Source organism: Homo sapiens, chromosome 7 (genome assembly GCF_000001405.40).
Source record: "Homo sapiens chromosome 7, GRCh38.p14 Primary Assembly".
Classification (NCBI taxonomy): domain Eukaryota; kingdom Metazoa; phylum Chordata; class Mammalia; order Primates; family Hominidae; genus Homo; species Homo sapiens.
This window is the reverse complement of record NC_000007.14, coordinates 45922743-45941413: the sequence shown is the minus strand read 5'-3', so window position 1 is coordinate 45941413 and position 18671 is coordinate 45922743. Positions and strand designations below refer to the sequence as shown.

At 40.1% G+C, this 18671-nt stretch overlaps 1 long non-coding RNA gene across 2 annotated transcripts in view; it reads right to left on the bottom strand.

Moving 5' to 3' along the window:
- LOC102723446 (uncharacterized) overlaps positions 1-965 on the bottom strand; it is a 52707-nt gene extending 51742 nt beyond the window's left edge. For both annotated transcript variants that reach the window (NR_187744.1, NR_187745.1), the window contains exon 1: positions 534-965. This is a non-coding gene — a long non-coding RNA (uncharacterized LOC102723446). The remainder of the gene's footprint in view (positions 1-533) is intronic.

The window sequence follows — 18671 nt, the reverse complement described above, 5'->3', positions numbered from 1 at the left end:
AGTTCATTTGGTCATCTTTGTAGGTGCAGAGAAAAGTATGTGATACATTTCAACAGTCATGCTTTTCTTTAACTTAGCAAAATAGTAATAGATAATAATTTTATTAACCAGATAAAGGGTATCTACAGCCACAGAAAAAAATAAAATCTATAGCAAATATCAGACTTCAGAAAGAAATACTGAAAGCGTCCATTCAGGAACAAGATCTGTCCACGGTTAAGAGAGACGGCTTCTGGCAGAGACAGAAACCAAACCTCCATCCAACCCAGGGTTCTGACCGCAGTGCGCTCCAGTTCCACCTCCCTGCCCCAGTCCACTTGCCTTCAACTCCTTGCTTTTTACCTATGCCTTGTAAAACAATAAAAATGTAGCCTCGTGGTGTAATTAAAAATAAACAATTCAAGTGTTTGTTGGTTTGGGGTCATGTATAGGACGGAATGGCAACAGGAGGGGGTAAGAATATAAGCATAATTAAAATTAGGTTTAAATTCATTTTCATGAACTCCCACATCAGGAAGTAAAATTTTACATACGATTGTGTCAGGAATTGGTTCTTTCCGGTGGGTTCTTGGTCCGGCTGACTTCAAGCATGAAGCCACAGACCCTCGCGGTGAGTGTTACAGTTCTTAAAGATAGTGTGTCTGGAGTTTGTTCCTTCCAATGTTTAGATGTGTCTGGAATTTCTTCCTTCCGGTGGGTTTGTGGTCTTGCTGACTTCAGGAGTGAAGCTGCAGACTTTCGCAGTGAGTGTTACAGCTCTTAAACGTGGTGCTTCCGGAGTTGTTTCCTCCTTCCGGTGGGTTCGTGGTCTTGCTGACTTCAGGAGTGAAGCCACAGACCTTCGCAGTGAGCGTTACAGCTCATAAAGCTAGTGCGGACCCAAAGAGTGAGCAGCAGCAAGATTCATTGTGAACAGCGAAAGAACAAAGCTTCCACACCATGGAAGGGGACCTGAGCAGGTTGCTGCTGCTGGCCCGGGTGGCCAGCTTTTATTCCCTTATTTGGCCCCACCCACATCCTGCTGATTGGTCCATTTTACAGAGCGCTGATTGGTCTGTTTTACAGAGTGCTGATTGGTCTGTTTTTACAGAGTGCTGATTAGCGCATTTACAAACCTTTAGCTAGACACAGAGTGCTGATTGGCGCATTTTTACAAGTGCTGATTGGTGCATTTACAATCCTTTAGCTAGACACAGAGTGCTGATTGGTGTGTTTACAATCCTTTAGCTAGACAGAAAAGTTCTCCAAGTCACCACCTGACCCAGAATCCCAGCCGGCTTCACCTCTCACAATCATATGACCTTTCTGCTAAAAAAAATATAGTCATCTTATTTATTGCAGTAACCCTCTCAGAGCATACTAAGAAAACTTTGATCCCATAAATAGCAAAACCCACTGCCAATGAATGGGGGCAACCATGCTCTAATAAATCTTTGTTTACAAAAACGGGTAGCTGGATGTGGCCCCTGAGCAGCAGTTTGCTGACTCCTACTCTGAAGGGGATCGGTCCCCCCAGAGGGTGCTGCTGCCTCTCCACTGTAATTTGTTTTGCCCCGGCTCCTGCACCCCCTCGACCTGCAGAGGACGCAGGTGCGCTCCTGTTTCTCGCTGACAATTGCTCCTGGCTGAACCGTTCGTCTGTTAGTGGAGTCCCTCACCCATTACTGCTCGTTGCTGCTGCTCTGCCCTCCCACAGGGCCTCTCCCCTTCTTTCCTGGGTGAGTCTAGCTCCAGTGCCTCTGCCATTTTCTCCAAAACTCTGGCTACCTTAATTCTTGTCTACAAGTCTGTCCTATCCGACCTCCTTTTCTTCTTGACCTTCTTTTCTCCCAGGACCTTGTCCTGCACCCACCTCGGCCTTCCACTCCCAGACTTCCATGAGCAGTAACTCCAGCCCTGCCCTGACAGGGTCTCATCATGGACCCCACTCTCTGATTACCATGCCCTGGCTTTCCAGATCATTCTTTCAGCCCCATCAGCATATATGACACATTCATCTTACCACAGTCTGTTGCCCTAGACTTTTTGGTATCTTCTCTTTTCTCTGAGTGGAGCTTAAATTTCCTTTGCTTTCTGACATTTCCATTGCCAGAAGGAGCAGCCGCGAGGTTCTTGGGTTCCAAAAGGTGTAGTATGAAGAGGAAGCACGAGAAGCCTGAGTACTTACACCCGGGGCGCCTGGTCAGAGCATCACACCCAGGGCCTGTTGCACCTGAGAACTAGCCCAGGTTTCAGAAGAGAAAGTCCTGCTTTCTGACGTCCACAGGGCACAGGGGATCTGAAATCCCTCTCCTCCCGGCACCCCGCCCCCTGCTGCTCTCAGGCTGCAGGTGCATCCAGTGCCTGGGCGGGTCTCGGGAGCAATCCTGTACCCCAGCCTTCTCACCGCTTCCCGCCCTCCCAGCATCTGCTCTGGCCTGGCAGCTGTTCTGAACTTTCCCTTCCTCTATTTAAACACCTTTCACTCCCCTAGCATTCTGTGCAGACAACAACAGCAACATTGTCCACTCATTCTTTTTCCTCTGAACTGAGAACTGAGTGGTGCCTCCACTCAAAGAAATAAGCCCACCCGAGCTGACCGAGCTGACGGAGCCGGCCTCGGTGATGCACCGGTCGGCTGCTCTGTGGTTGGCAATGGCGAAACTGCTCCTCTTCCTTCCTGGAAAAGACCAAGCTTGAGATGAAAATGATTTATTTAGGCCCATGCCTGTCTTCCAGGTGATTACGAATTGTTCTACCGTGTGAGGATTTGCCGAGACACTTGGGGGCTCGCTTGGCAAGTGGACTTCTCTCACCTCTCAGTTACCCAGCCCTTTACCCACGCATGCATGTCTGGCGACATTGACTGGGCAGCAAGACAGCACAGTGAACTGTGTCTCCCGAATGATGCAGGGCAGTGTTCCTCCTACTGAACCTACAGCACAGACTTTTGTAGGGTGGGGCATCCAGAATCAATCCCGAGCTGGGTGCTGGCACTCTGGATTTTTAGGAACTCTTAGGTTTATTCTCAGTGAAGCTTCCTCTCACCCCAAGTCTTTTGCATCTTCAACTTTCACAAAAGACCTTTGAATTAATCAGACACTTCCCTTCCTCTGGTAGCCAGCAACCAGGTTTGAGATCCAGAAGGCACTTCCTGTTGTGTGCAAGTTTTACAAATATTCACCACACACAGCTCCCAATACACATACCACACAACACAACACACACCAAAAACACACACACATCTCACACATACAACACATATACAACACACAAAACACGGCACACAAACCACACACAGCTCACAACACACACCTCACACCCAACACAACAAAACACACATACTACAACACACACACACCACAACATACAACATACACCACAACACACACATTCTACGCATCCCATCCACACAACACCCATAGATCACCACAGCACACACAGCTCATAACCACATACCATACACACACAGTACACACAAAACACACACACCACCTTCCTCTGTGCTTCCTGCTTGCTAATAACCTTTCTTGCTTGCTTGCTCCTCACCATAAAATACTGAAGGTGGTAGAGACCCAAGAGTCTGCTGACTGCACCCATTCATTACACAACAAAGAAACCAGAGCATTTTAAGAGGGAATGACTTGTCCAGGGCCGCGCACCAGTTGCTAGGGGACCAGACATGAATCGGGCCCTCAGATCCTGGGGAGAACACAGAGGTTGGAGGCCATGTGGGCAGTGGGGGACATCACAAGGCTCCCAGCTTTTGTGGGACACTTGGCAGGTCTGCACCAAGTGCCACCGAGGCTGGGGACTGATTCTCTGAGCTGCCCTGGCAGGTTTGTCCAGAGGGGCTTGTCGTGGTTCAGCCTGATGCTGGGCTTTGGCTGACATGAGTAAGCTCGTCTTAAAAGCTCCCCTTAAAAGAGGAATCAAGATCATGTTGCACAATAGCCGGAGGCAAACGCCCTGCTGCTGTTTAGCAGATGCACGCCTGGGACTAAGAAAACAGCACAGCCCCATTCAGGGGATGGCAGTGCCTGCTGTTAACCACTCACCCTGGTTAGACAATCCCAGAGGGCTGGCCATGAGAGGGACTGATGTCACCCATTATTTGGTCCCTCAGCCTCAGGAGCATCCCAAGAACCTGTGGACCAGAGTGGTGTTGAGGGTCCCACTCTGGCTTCAGAGAGACGTGGGTCACATCTGGTTTTGCCTGTGACTCTGTGTGCAACCTTAGACCCTCCACACAACCCTGCAGCACTCCTGTCTCTCATCTGTGAAATCATGAACTTCTAGGAGGTCTGGGAAGATGCAGTGAGCAGTTCAAGTTCAATGGGAGCTTCATGTGCTGGGACGAGGACTAAGTGCTTGACATGGAGCCCTTCAGTTCATTGCTTAGTTTTGTTTTTTAATGTTTCCAAAAAAAGTTTAAAAAAAAAAAAGTAGCACAACAAGTGCCTGTGTGACCAGAACCCAGCCTGCAATTCATCAAACCTTCTGCCATGATGTCATTGTTTCATTACAATGTGTGGCACACCAGTTATATTCCTGGATGCCCTACATGACCCATTCCTCTCCTACCCTCCACAAAGGTGACCACCTTCCCAAAATTACTTTGCAGCTTTGACATGCATGTTCCCCTTCTTTGAAGACTTTGCATCTCTCCGTAACAACATAGACTATTGTTTTCCACCCCTACTGTCTTTGATATAATGAACATATTCAATAACTTGCTTTTCTTGCTTATTTGATGTTTCTCAAATGTACCCATTGTGATACCTATGCTGGTTCATTCCTCTTGTTTATGGCACAGTCTGCCAGTGTCTGAAGAGAGCTCTCTGCTTACTAAGGGATGCATGCTCTTGCAGACCATGCTGTACTGTGCATTCACTTGTGTGTCTCCTTACGTGTCTGCACTGGAACTTCCCTCGTGCATTCACTTGTGTGTCTCCTTACGTGTCTGCACTGGAACTTCCCTCAGTGTAGACTGAGTAGTGGGGTGGGTAGATCACAGCAGCTTGGGAATCTGCATCTTCACTAGGTTTTGCCTACTTGTTTTTATCAGTGTACTTGGGTCAGCCCAGGTCATTACTCCTTCACCTGCAATGTGGCACCACACACAATGCCATGAAGGCACAGCAGAAAGAGAAATCAACCAGAAGGCAGGAAACACAGGTCCATGGAGACATGGAGACGCAGAGTGGGAAGGCACTTTGGAGGAGGTTTAGAGTGACACTCCCAGCCTTTTACACTTTAAATTATAAATAGGAAATGCTAATATTTGTGAGAACACAAGAATAAACAAACAAGGATGACTGCAGCTGAAGGCAACTGGTCTCAGAGCTCTGGTCCCCTGACAGCCTGCACAAATAGACCAAGGGTGAATATACGAAAACACACTACATTGTACTGAATTGTACACTATAAAAGGATAAATTTTATAGTTTGTGAATTACATCTCAATTAAACAAACTGTAAAAATCTAGGCACACAAAATGAATCAACAGATAAGCTAAATTTCATATACATATATTTTAATTTGTAATTGAAAACCATCTCGGCCAGGCGCGGTGGCTCACGCCTGTAATCTCAACACTTTGGGAGGCCGAGGCAGGTGGATCACCTGAGGTCAGGAATTCAAGACCAGCCTGGCCAACATGGCGAAACCCCATCTCTAATAAAAATATAGAAATTAGCCGGGTGTGGTGACACACACCTGTAGTCCCAGCTACTCGGAAGGCTGAGGCAGGAGAATAGTTTGAACCTGGGAGGTGGAGGCTGCAGTAAGCCAAGATCACGCCACTGTACTCCTGGGTGACAGAGCAAGACTCTGTCTCTCAAAAAAGAGAAAGAAAGAAAACATCTCCATGTGATGATCAAGACATGGGTGGTCACTGGTTTCCAAGACCAGTGTCAGAAAAGAAAAAATGAGCTTAGTTCCAGGGAAGGGCTGCACAAGCTGCTTTGCACTTGAAGTACAAGTACAAATGGTGTGCCTTTAACTCACAGAGGGCCAATCTTGCCCACATCCCTTTATAAAATTCAATGACCAGTGTAGTAGCAACAGCCACCTATGCTTCAATGCAGCCAGCACTGTACTTCCACACGTGCAAGGGGGCTGTGAGCATGAAAAGAATGGTCTGGTTCCAGGTAAGATGGAGCAAGAACACTCCACCCTGTCTTTCCCATGGAATGCAGCAATAAAACTAGCATGAAATGCATGGAGCAGATATTTGAGGACTCTAATAAGGAAACAGTAGCAAGCAAATTGGGAAGGAAGACCAGAATTCTAAATCCTAAGCTACGTAAGTGGTAAATTTCCCATTTTTCCTCTGGTAGATCTCCTGACCCAGAGCTGAGGCACCTCCAAATCTAGAATTGGGCCCTGGAGCTCAGAGAAATTTCTAGGATAAATCCTCTGGTTCTAGCTTGAGAAACAAGAAAGAAGCTAATCCCTCAGAGACAGTAGAGGAAGTCCCCCACTTTTTCTTTTTGTTGTCTCATATCCCTGTCTTCAGATAACCCCATAGTAACAAGAGTCAGTGATAATTGCAGGGGCAGGTACCTAAAACCCTGAGTTTTTTCCCATCAGTCACCTGTTGCTTGCCTAGACATGGGCACAATTGTGGGACGTATACAGTAGTAATACCCTTCCACCCAGAGTGAAGAAAGCCACAGCTTTCCAGTTAGAAGACAAAAAATAGGGAGCTCAGGAAACTGGAGAGCTTGTGAGACATCATGAAGAAGGAGGACACTGAGAAGTCAACCCCATAAAGTCGTTTATGAGCTCCTGAGCTCACACTGAAGTTGCACTGGCCACTTAGTGATGCATATGCAGGACAAATCCCAACAGTACTGCAAAGGCTTGGAAAATGGAAAGGGCATTAAAACCATAGCTTAAATGATGCTGGCCAGACCTGGCCTAAGCTCAACTGAGTAAATGGCCTGCTAGAATAAAAATAAGAACTTTTTAAAAAATTTAAATGAGACCCAGAGTCTCCTAACAAAATATTTAAAATGTCCAGGAGAGAATCCAAAATTATTTACAATACCAAAAATCAACTCAAGTGGGAAACAGTCAACAGACACCAATGTAGAGATGACAGAGGTATTAGAATAATAAGAGAAAGGCTTTCTGTAGCTATTATGAAAGTGCTCTGAAAAGTATGGAATAACAATCATGAAACAAATACAAAAATATAAAGTCTCACAGTGGGAGAAAATCTTCACAATCTTTACATACGGCAAAGTTCTAATATGCAGAATCTACAACAAACTCAAACAAATCAGCAAGAAAAGAACAAATAATCCCATCAAAAAGTGGGCTAAGGCCATGAATAGACAATTCTCAACAGAAGATATACAAATGGCCAACAAACATGAAAAAATTCTCAACATCACTAACGATCAGGGAAATGAAAATCAAAACCAAAATGCAATACCACCTTACTCCTGCAAGAATGGCCATAATCAAAAAATCAAAAACAGTAGATGTTGGCGTGGATGTGGTGATCAGGAAACACTTTCCACACTGCTGGTGGGAACGTAAACTACTACAGCTACTATGGAAAACAGTGTGGAGATTCCTTAAAGAACTAAAAGTAGAACTACCATTTGATCCAGCAATCCCACTACTAGATATCTACTCATAGGAAAAGAAGTCATTATATGAAAAAGAAACTTGCACACACATGTTTATAGCAGCACAGTTCACAATTACAAAATCATGGAACCAACCCAAATGCCCATCAATCAACAAGCAGGTAAAGAAACTGTGGTGTGTATATATATATATATATACACACGATGGAATACTACTCAGCCATAAAAAGGAATGAATTAGTGGCATTTGCAGCAACCTGGGTGAGATTGGAGACTATTATTCTAAGTGAAGTAACTCAGGAATGGAAAAACAAACATCATATGTTCTCACTGATATGTGAGAGCTAAGCTATGAGGATGCAAAAGCATAAGAATGATACAATGGACTTTGGGGACTTAAGGGGAAGGGTAGGAAGAGGGCGAGGAATAAAAGACTACAAATAGGGTATAGTGTACACCGCTCAGGTGATGGATGAACCAAAATCTCACAAATCACATGATAGAACTTACTTGTATAATCAAACACCACCTGTACCCCAATAACCTATGGAAAAAATTTAAAAACTTTTTGCACGAAAAGCAATAGAAATTATAAAGAAGGACCAAATAAAAAGTTTAGAACTTCAAAATACAATAACCAGAGTAAAAATTTCTCTAGATGTGCTTAGTAGCAGAATGGAGATGAATGAGTGTGGGTGGCAAGCCACCCAGGTGAGGAAAGAGTCAGTGAACCGGATGATAAATAAATATTATTTAATCAGAAAAAAGAGGGAAAAGATAAAGAAAACGTTGACAGAGACTCAGAGACCTGTAGGTGATACAAAAGTCTAACATTCTCCAGATGAAGAGAAGGAATGTGGATTAGAAAAAAAAACTTGAAGAAATATTGCCCAGAAATGTCTCAAATTTAATCAAAGACATAGACTTGCATAATAAAGTAGCCTAACAAGCCCCAAAGAAAAAAAATAAAGAAAATAATAGTCAACTGAGAGTTGTGTTTCTAGGAAAAATATCATTCAGAAATAAAGGTGAAATTAATACATTCTCAAGTGAAGAAAAACAGAGGATCTTGTCAGCACATCTACTTTAAACAATTACTAAAGGAAGTCATTCAAACAGAATGGAAGTGTTATCAGAGGGAAACCTGGAATAATCCTAAGTAAATAATGATAAATAAATGAAGCTCAACAGAAATAGTACACATCTAGGTAAATATAACAGACTATTCACACCTTGAGTTCTTTAAAATAAATGTAATACTCAAAAGCAAAAACATCATCTGATGGGGTTTTTTATGCATATGGATATAATCCATAAAACAACTACAACATAAAAAGGGGAGGGTAATGGAACCTATAAGATGAAAATATTGTAAATTCCTCTTTAAGTGGTAAAGTATTGATTCTAACTAGACTACCAAAGGTTAAGTACATCTTTTGCAATTAAAAAAAACACTAAGAAGAAATTATGCAAAAAGATAAAGTCAAAAATAAATCAGAAAATTAAAATGTTATATTTAAACAAAAGGCTCAAATAACCCTGCAGAAGGTTGTAGAAAGAAAGCAGACACACACACACACACACACACACACACACACACACACACACACACAGGACAGGACAGAAAGACTGATCTAAACATGCAATGAAAATAGCAATAAGATTTTTTTAAAATCTAAAAAGCCTCTAGCAAGACTGACAAACAAAAGAGAGAGAACATACAAATTGCCAGTGACAAAAATAGAATAGGAGATATCACCACAGACCTTGCAGATAGTAAAAGAATAATAAGTGAATACTACAACAACTCTACGCACATATATTCAATAACTTAAAAAAATAGATCAGTACTTTGAAACCACAAAATACTAAAACTCACCCAAGATTAAATAGAAAGCCCATACTAACTCATTATTTATACATGAAATTAATAGTTTAAAACCTTTCAAAAAAAGAAATCTCCAAGTTTCATGAGTGAATTCTAAAGAGAAGAAAATTATACAAATTATACATATTGTTTTCTAGAAAATAAGAGAATACATCCCATTTTATTCTACGAGGCCAGGATGGGCTTTATAACAAACTAAAAAATTATACAATTTATATATATAGTAAAACATTACACTGTACCCCATAAATATGTAATTGTTTTATTTGTATTACAAATAAAATAAAACCAAAAAAGAAAAACATAGACCAATATCCCTCATGAGTATAACAACAAAAATCCTAAACAAATTCTTAGCAAATCAAAAATAGCAATATGTATTTTTTAAGTTCCACCATGATCAAGGGGTTTAATCCTAGGAAAGTAAGGCTGATTCAATATTCTAAAATAAATTAATGTCATTTATTATATTAAGACTTGAAATAAAAAATATTATCATATTAATTGATACAAGAAAAAAATTGACAAAATTCAACATCCAAACATGATAAAACTTCTCATCAAATTAGAAACAGTAGAGGACATCCTCAATTTAATAAAATCATCAATAAAAATTCTACAGCTAGCATCATACTTTATAGTGTAAGAATGAATGCTTTATCACTAAGATCAGGAACAAGGCAAGGCTGTCCTTTCTCACAGCTTCTATTAAACACTGTATTAGAAGTTCTAGCCACTGCAATAAAGCAAGGAAAATAAATGAGTCAGAATGATTAGAAAGGAAGAAATAAAAGTGTTTACATTTGCAGATGGTATGACTCTCCATGTAGAGTATCTCAAAGAATCTACAAAAAACATAGAATAAATAGATAAGTGTAGCAAGGGCATAGGATACAATGTCAACACAAAGAAAACTCCATCATATTTCTGTATACCAGAATGAGCAATTGAATTTTTAACTAAAAAAAATCATTCCAAATAGCTCCAAAACATAAAATATTTAGGTATGAATGTAATGAAATACCTATAAAATTTTTATGCTAAAAATGATAAACTCTAAGGAAGTAAACTTTAAAATATCTAAATATATAAAGATACACACCATGTTCATGGATTGGAAGACTGATAAAGATGTTACTTCTCTCCACATCTATATAAAGACTTTACCCAATTCCAATTAAAATCTCAACAGAAAACTTGTAGATTAAAATTTATATGAAAAGGCTAAAAACAACTAAAATAATTTTTAAAACAAAGAATAAACTTAGAGGAATCACACTATCCAATTTTAAAACTTACTATATAGTAATCTTGATTACTGTAGTAATTGAGACAGTGAGATCTTTATAAAAGGACATATAAATAAATCAATGGAACAGAATAGAGTCCAGAAATAAACTCACACAAATACAACAATTTTATTATTGATGAAAGTCTCAAAAGAAGTTGAATGGGGAATGATAGTTTTTCAATAAATTATGTTGGAACAAATAGACATCTATACGCAAAAAACAACCCTGACAAAAACTTTGTACCTTATAAAAGTTAACTCAAAATGGATCCTAGGTCTAAATATAAAATGTAAAACCATAAAACTATTAGAAGAAAATATAGGAGGCAAATTCTATGATCTGAACTTAGAGATAACACCAAAAGCATGATCCATAAAAGAAAATAATGTTAAATTATATCAAATTCAAAAGTTTTGCTGCTTAAAAGACACTGTTAAGAGCCTGAAAAGACAAGCTACAGACTGAAAGTATTTGCAAATCACAGATGTGACAAAGAATTTGTATGCAGAATATATAACTAACTCTCAAATAAAAGAGTAAAGGGGAAAATGTTCAATTAGAATCAGTTAAAATGCATGAACAGACACTTCACCAAAGAGAATATACAAATGGCAAATAAGTACATAAAAAGTTGTTAAAATTCATTACCATTACAGTAATGAAAACTGAAACTGCAGTGAGATGCCACTACATACTTACCAGAATGGCTAAAAAACAAACAAAAAATTTGACAATTCTAAGTGCTGAGGAAAATACAGAGCAACTAAAACTCCCATATATTCCTGTGAATGCAAATGGCACATATTCTGAGAAATGATTTGGTGGTTTCTTATAAAGCTAAACATACACTCACCATACAACCCAGCAATTGCATTCCTAGATATTTACCTTGGAAAGTGGAACCTTATGTTTGCACACACAAAAAAACCTGTACACAAATGTTTATAGTAGCTTTTCCATAATTACTGAACACTGAAAATAACCCAAATGTTCTTCAATGGGTGAATAGATCAACAAACTATGCTATTTTTATAAAACAGAATGCTAGTCAGCCATAAAAAGGAATTAATTACTGATATATGTATCAATGTGATGAATCTCAAAGGCATTATGCTGAATCAAAATAAAAGCCAGTCTCAAAGGTAATATATGATTCTATTTTCATGATGGTATGATTCCATTTTCATGACATTTTAAGGCCATCATGAAACTATGGTGAGACAGAACAGATCACTAGTTAATAAGACTTAGGGGAGAGGTAGGGATGTGATTGAAATGGGTCAGCATAAGAGACGTTTTGGGGGTGATGGAACTATTTTGTATCTTGATTATGGTGATAATTACCATGTGCACTAATTTCTTAGGGCTGTCATAACATAACAAATTACCACAAACTGGGTGACTTAAAAGAACAGAAATTTATTCTCTCACAGTTCTGGAGGATATAGGGCTGAAATCCAGGTGATGGCAGGGCTGTGCTTCTTTTGAAGGTTCTAGGGAAGAATCCATCCTTTACTCTTCCGGGCTTTGGGGGATTGTTGGAAGTCTTTGGCTTTCCTCAGCTTGTAGCTGCAACATCCCAACTTCTGCCTCCGTCTTCAAATGGGCTTCTTCCTTCTGTGTGTCTGTGTGTCTCCAAACTCTTTTTTCCCTGTAAGGAGACTAGTCATTGAATTTAAGACCTACTATAATCTAGTATCACTTCATCTTAACTAATTACATCTCCAAAGATCCTAGTCCAAATAAGGTCACATTCAACGTATCTTTTGGGGTACCATTCAATGCACTATGGTCTACCCTTGGAAGTCCCCAAAAATTGACATGTGTCTTACATGTGCAATATATTCACCGCACCCCAACAACCCTAGAACCTACTATGACATCAACTCTTAAAGTCTCATTTAAGTATCATCACTTCAAAATTCCCAAATCTCATCATCTAATTGTCTAAGTAGCCCAGATGGGTGATATTCTGGGTATGATCCAACCTGGGGCAAAACTCATCTCCATCTGTGGACTTTCTAAACTCGAAAACATGTTATCTGCTTCCAAAACACAATAGTGGGACAGGCATAGCATAGGGAGTCCCATTCCGAAAGGGAGAAATTGGAAGGAATAAAAGATTTATGTGTTCCAAGAAAATTCAGAACCTAGCAAGAAACATTACATTAGGTTTCGAGACATAGCGACACTCCTCTGTTGCTTAAGCTTCACCCTCTGGGTCTGCAGAGGCAAAATCAAAACAAAACAAAAGCAAGCACAAAAATCAAAATTTCCTACAAAGAAAACTTTGGTCCAAAATGGCTTCACTGGTGAATTCTACCAACCATGTAAAGGAAAAAATAAGAATTCTGCATATCTCTTCAAGAAAAAGACATTACAAGAAAATTACAGATCAATGTCATTCATGAACACCAATGCAAATTTTTTTAGAATTTTTTTAAGTCTTAAAAACTAAGTTCAGCAATATATTTTTTAAAAGAATAGAATGATACATCCTGATCCAAGTGTGTGTAGTCACTCTATCTCAGGAATATAGGAAGGTTTAACATTCAAAAAATTAATCTGTGTAATTCACCAAATTAATAACCTTAAAAGCAAAATTATATGATCATTTTATCTATTCAGTAAAAGCATCTGACATAGATCAACATCCATTCCTGATCAACAGCTCTATCTGCAAAACAGAAAGAGAAAGTAACTCTCTTATCCTGCTAAATGTCATCTGTGACAAACCTACGGCTAACATCATGCTTGATAGTAAAAGACCAAATGCATTCCCCGCAAGGTCAGAAACAAGACAAGGATGTCATCACTGTTCCTCTGAAACATTATACTAGAAGTCCTAATCAGTGTAATAGGGTAAGAAAATGAAATAAAGGCACCCATATTAGAAAGAAAGAAGTAAAACTGTCTTTATTCACAGACGACAAAACCCACAATAAAACTACAAAAACTAATGAGTGAGTTTTGCATGTTTTCAGGCTACAAGATCAGTATTCTACAATCAACTGTGCTCTTATATACTAGCAATGCAAACTTAGAAGTTTAAATCTTTAAAAAAATAGTATTTACAACAGCACCAAAAATATGAAATACTTAGGAATATGTCTAACAAAAGAAGTATAAGACTTATACACTGAAAACTACAAAACATTGCTGAAAGAAATGAAAGATGTCCTAAATAAATGAACACACATGTCATGCTCATGGGTATGAAGACTCGGTATAGTTAAGAGGTCAATTCTCTCTAAATTCATTTTTAGAATCAATACAATCCCAATCAAAATTTCAGTAGCCTTTTCTGTAGAAATTTAAAAACTGATTCTAAAACCCATACAGAAATTCAAAGACATGAAAGAGCCAAAACAACTTTGAAAAAGAACAAATGTGCAAGAGTAGCACTACCTGATTTTAAGATTTATAATAAAGCTATCATAATGAAAACTGTAACCGTGGCATAAAAACAGATGGCATAATAAATAGATCAGAACAGGGTGGAATGGAATGGAATGGAATGGAATGGAATGGAATAGAATACAATACAATAGAATACAATACAATACAATACAATAGAATACCAAAAGCATGATTCATAAAAGAAAAAAATGACAAATTGCACCATATCAAAATTAAAATCTTCACTTTTCAAAGGCCTCATTAAAAACTGAAATGACCAGCCACAGGAGAAAATATTTGCAATTTACATGTCTAATAAAGAAGGACTTATATCCAAGATGTACAAAGCATTCTCAAAATTCAATAAGAAAACAAATGTCTTAATTTTTTAAGTGGGCAAAAATTTTAACAGACATTTCACCAAAGAAAATATACAGATAAAAAAATTAGCACATGACAGCTGCTCAACATTCTTTGTCATGAGGCCAATAACAAATTAAAACCAAGATGAGATGCCACTACCCATCTAATAGAATGGATAAAATTAATAACACTGTCCATATCAAGTATTGCCAAGAATGTGGGAGAACTGGAACTCTGATATACTGCAGATGAGGATGTAAAATGGTACAATACACTTTGAACATTTTTGAAAACACCAAACACACACACACACACACACACACACATATATAACACATATTTCAAATAAAGCATATATATGTGCTTTTTATTTATAATTTAAAAATCCAGACATTCCACCAGCAGGTATTTACCCAAGAGAATTGAAAGCATACATCCATGCAGAGATTTCCACAAAAATATTCAAGAGATTTCTACCCAAATATTCATAGCAGCTTATTTCTGTTTAATAGCCACAAAAAAATGAAAACAACCCAAATGTCCATTAACAGATGAATGGATAAACACACCGTGATATATCCATCCAATAGAATTCAACTCAACAAAAAGGAACGACCGATTTACACATACAATAGGGATGAATCTCAAAATAATCATGCTGAGTAAAAGAAACCAGGAGAAAAAAAGTAGATGCCATATTATCTCACTTACATAAAATTCTGGAAAATACAAACTAATCTAGTGTGACAGAAAGGAGATCAGCGGCTTCCAGGAGATAAGAATGGAGAAAAGGAGGGCTCAAGATTATGAAAGGTCAAGAAGTTTTTGAGGATGATGGAAAGGTTCATTTGTATGTTAGCGATTTCCTAAATGTATACATATGTCAAAACCTATCAAATCATACACTTCCAATCTGTGTAGTACATTGTATGTTAATTATACATCAATGAAAAAGAAAAATCTATCTCTCTGTCTATCAAATTGGAGAGGCACCATGGAATCTGTGGATTATGATCTAGGAAATCCAGCAAAAAGGGTCTGCCTCCGTCTCTCCATCTCCAGTGAAAGGGATAGATAACAGGACTCTCAGGACTCTTCTAGCTATGATAGGAGAGCTACTGGGAATCTTCTCCTTTCTATCTGGCCTTGCAAAGCTGGAAAAGGAGCTTGAAGTGGCACCAAAGATGCCCTTGGGTAAAGACACAGGATTGACACTGGTGCCGGGGACAAACCAGCTGAATGAAAAGTGCTCCTAAAATCTTTCCTGTCCCCTTTTAAGACTTCACTGGGCAGGGAAAGACCATACTAGACTGTTGGCCAGTTTGAAGACTGTATGTCATGCCCACAGGTAGACTCAATTGTTAGCATGTTGACATTTGAACTAAGGAGACAAGGTATGTGGGCTGTGTGCTAGGACTCATTTGAGAATAAAACCTTTAAGATTGTTCAGGTGGCTATGTGAACACAAGGATGAACTTTTATTTCCCATTCCCCAGGCAACACTGTGTCTAAGAGTTCATCCTTCCATCAGTGCTGTAAGATAGGTACTAGTGCCCTTACCTGGTCCTAGAATTGAGTTGCAGAACTTGCCCAATGTCAGAAAGCTATTGAGAGGAGAACTGAGCAAGCAGTTAAGAATAAACTCTAGTCTACTGTGATTGAAGTCCCCAGTCTCTCTCATTGTTCTGAAGCTTCAACCTTGAAGAAAAGTTGGAAGTTAGACAGAGTCAGGAATTGCCTCTGTTTGAATGACCAGGAGACACAGAGGTAACTCTTATCATGTAAATGACTAACTGTGTAGGCAAGGGTGTGGGTGCCCACATGTAGAAGGTAGCACTATTGTGAGAGAAAGCCATGACAGGAGTATCATTGTCCTGAGCAGAAACCTCCCTTCCATGGGGTGGGCTCCCAATGTCCAGGCCCCTTCTCTGGAGCATCTATCTCCAGATTGTCTGACGACACGGGACAGCACTAACTCTGAGGAGCCCCTGTCTCTGGACCATGGATTTCCACTGCCACAGGTACCACTGTCCCCATCCAGTATATCCAGTTACCTTCTCTTCTCTTCCAAATCTCAGAATTATGCCTTCCACAGGTCACATGCACAATGCCAACACCATCCCCTCTGAGCCCTCCCCTCGTCCCTCCAGGCACACAGAATGACTCTCTGTGGATGCCCATACTTTCTTCTTGCCTGCCTCTCTCAGCTGGACTCTCCCACATTGTTTAAGACTCAATTCAAATGCCACCACCTCTCAGAAGTTTTTTCTGACCACACGGACAGGTTTGCCATCCCTCCAGCAGGGTTATAAATGCACCCGGTGAACCTCTCTGTTTTCTCTGCTGTCACACTGCCTACCACTGTCTGGACTCTGGTGAGTCACTCCAGCCAGCCTGTGAAATCCTGCAGCTGGCACATGGAGGTGCTTAGTAATCATTCTTGGACTAAGTGGATAGATGAACTCTTAATGATGTTATTTGTGAGTAAAAGTCATTTGCAGTGTTGTTAGCCACCGTGATGTTGGCAGTTGATGGTCCCCAATGCATCCCCAAGCCCAGTATATGTAATTCCGGGAGGCTCACCCAGCAGGCGATCTGATGGAGAGAAAATTAGATTTCCTGTCTCCACCAATACGTCCCCTAAAGGGGAAAAAAAACCTGAAGCTTATAGGGTGAGAGCCACTGAGTCCTAGCAACTGGGTCCCCAACACTGCTTGCCTTTAGAAGTTTGGCTCTTTCTGTTCTAAGTCTATTGGTGGTCAGTAAGACTGATAGCCACACCCCAGAGGACACTGAGAAACAGTAGTGCTGTCAGAAGGAGAGAGACCCTAGGGTGGCTTGTCCAGCTGGGGGCTGAGCAGAAGAAAAGCAAAGGAGCCAGTATCACGCAGCGACAAGGTGCCCTTTAGCAGCAGGAGTGGGCTCAAAGAAATGAGTGGTTTAGGTCACCTGGTGAAAATAACGAGGCTGACCAAAGGAAACACTAATTATAATCAGGTCAGCTGGACTCCGTTAGTGAAAAGAGATCTATGCAGCCTCCTGACCTCTATTCGGATGGTTATTCGCTACTTTTGCAATGATTAGCAATTGTATGCCAAGCACCTTCACAGGGGGTAAACATCTTTCTCACTAAATACTAGTTTATGTTAAAAACTACAAACACCAGATGAATTGGAAGTTTAACAGAATTAACGAGCATGTCACAAAATTAAGTTTTATCCAGTCCAAATCCTTCCTGCAACAATTATGTTCCGGGAGGGGCAGGGAGCTTGCAGTTATCAAATAAAACTGGCTAAATAACAAAACACAATTCTCCCCGTGTCACTGCCTCAAATTTACTCTGCTGTTGCAAGATGTCATGATAAAGGTGATGGCAATCTATATAAAACATTGTTATTGGAATAGCCTTTGAAAGTTGAAATGTGACTTAGTCTTTACGTGTGTCCCGTGGTCCCTGAGGCCGGGCTGGACGCCTGGAGCTTTGGCGCCCCCTAGCCATTCGGCACTGAACAAGTTTCTCCAACTGCAATGCGAGGGAAAAAAGAAGAGAACCAAGAATAAAACAAATTTTTTAATCCTTTCCAAAAAGACATTGTTTCTGATCTTCCCCTGTCCACTCTCCAGATGATAAAGCTGAATAAAAAGTGCTACACTAACCAGTGGTCAGTCCAGGCTCTGCTGCAACATTGCACTAACCAGAACTGCAGACCTGGGACCTCAAGAATTGCATTTGATGCCGAACCCAGCTCTAATTTCAGAGTCAAGGTCTCTGCGAGTATTTAAGGAACGGATGTAAACCTGGGGGATTCGTTTTGTTTCCTTCAATTTTCCAATGAAATCAGAGATCCTGTTCTTGGGTGTCAACGCAGATACTAGAAGGAGGTGATACAAGAGAAAGGAAACAGCAAGCGACGATTATGGCACGGTTTCCTGTAAACAAGGTTGAGTGTAGCCACAGCCTGAGCACTGTGGGAGAAGAGCTCATAAGAAAATGACGGTGCTGGGCCTTCGTCACCCCGGGGCACTCCATTGTTCTTGTCTTTGGTCTCTTTTTATTTGTAGAGGTCCAATTATTTATTTATTTAGTACAAGAGGGAACGAAATTGATCTTTCCATTCTAAAAGGAGAGTATATATGTATAAAAG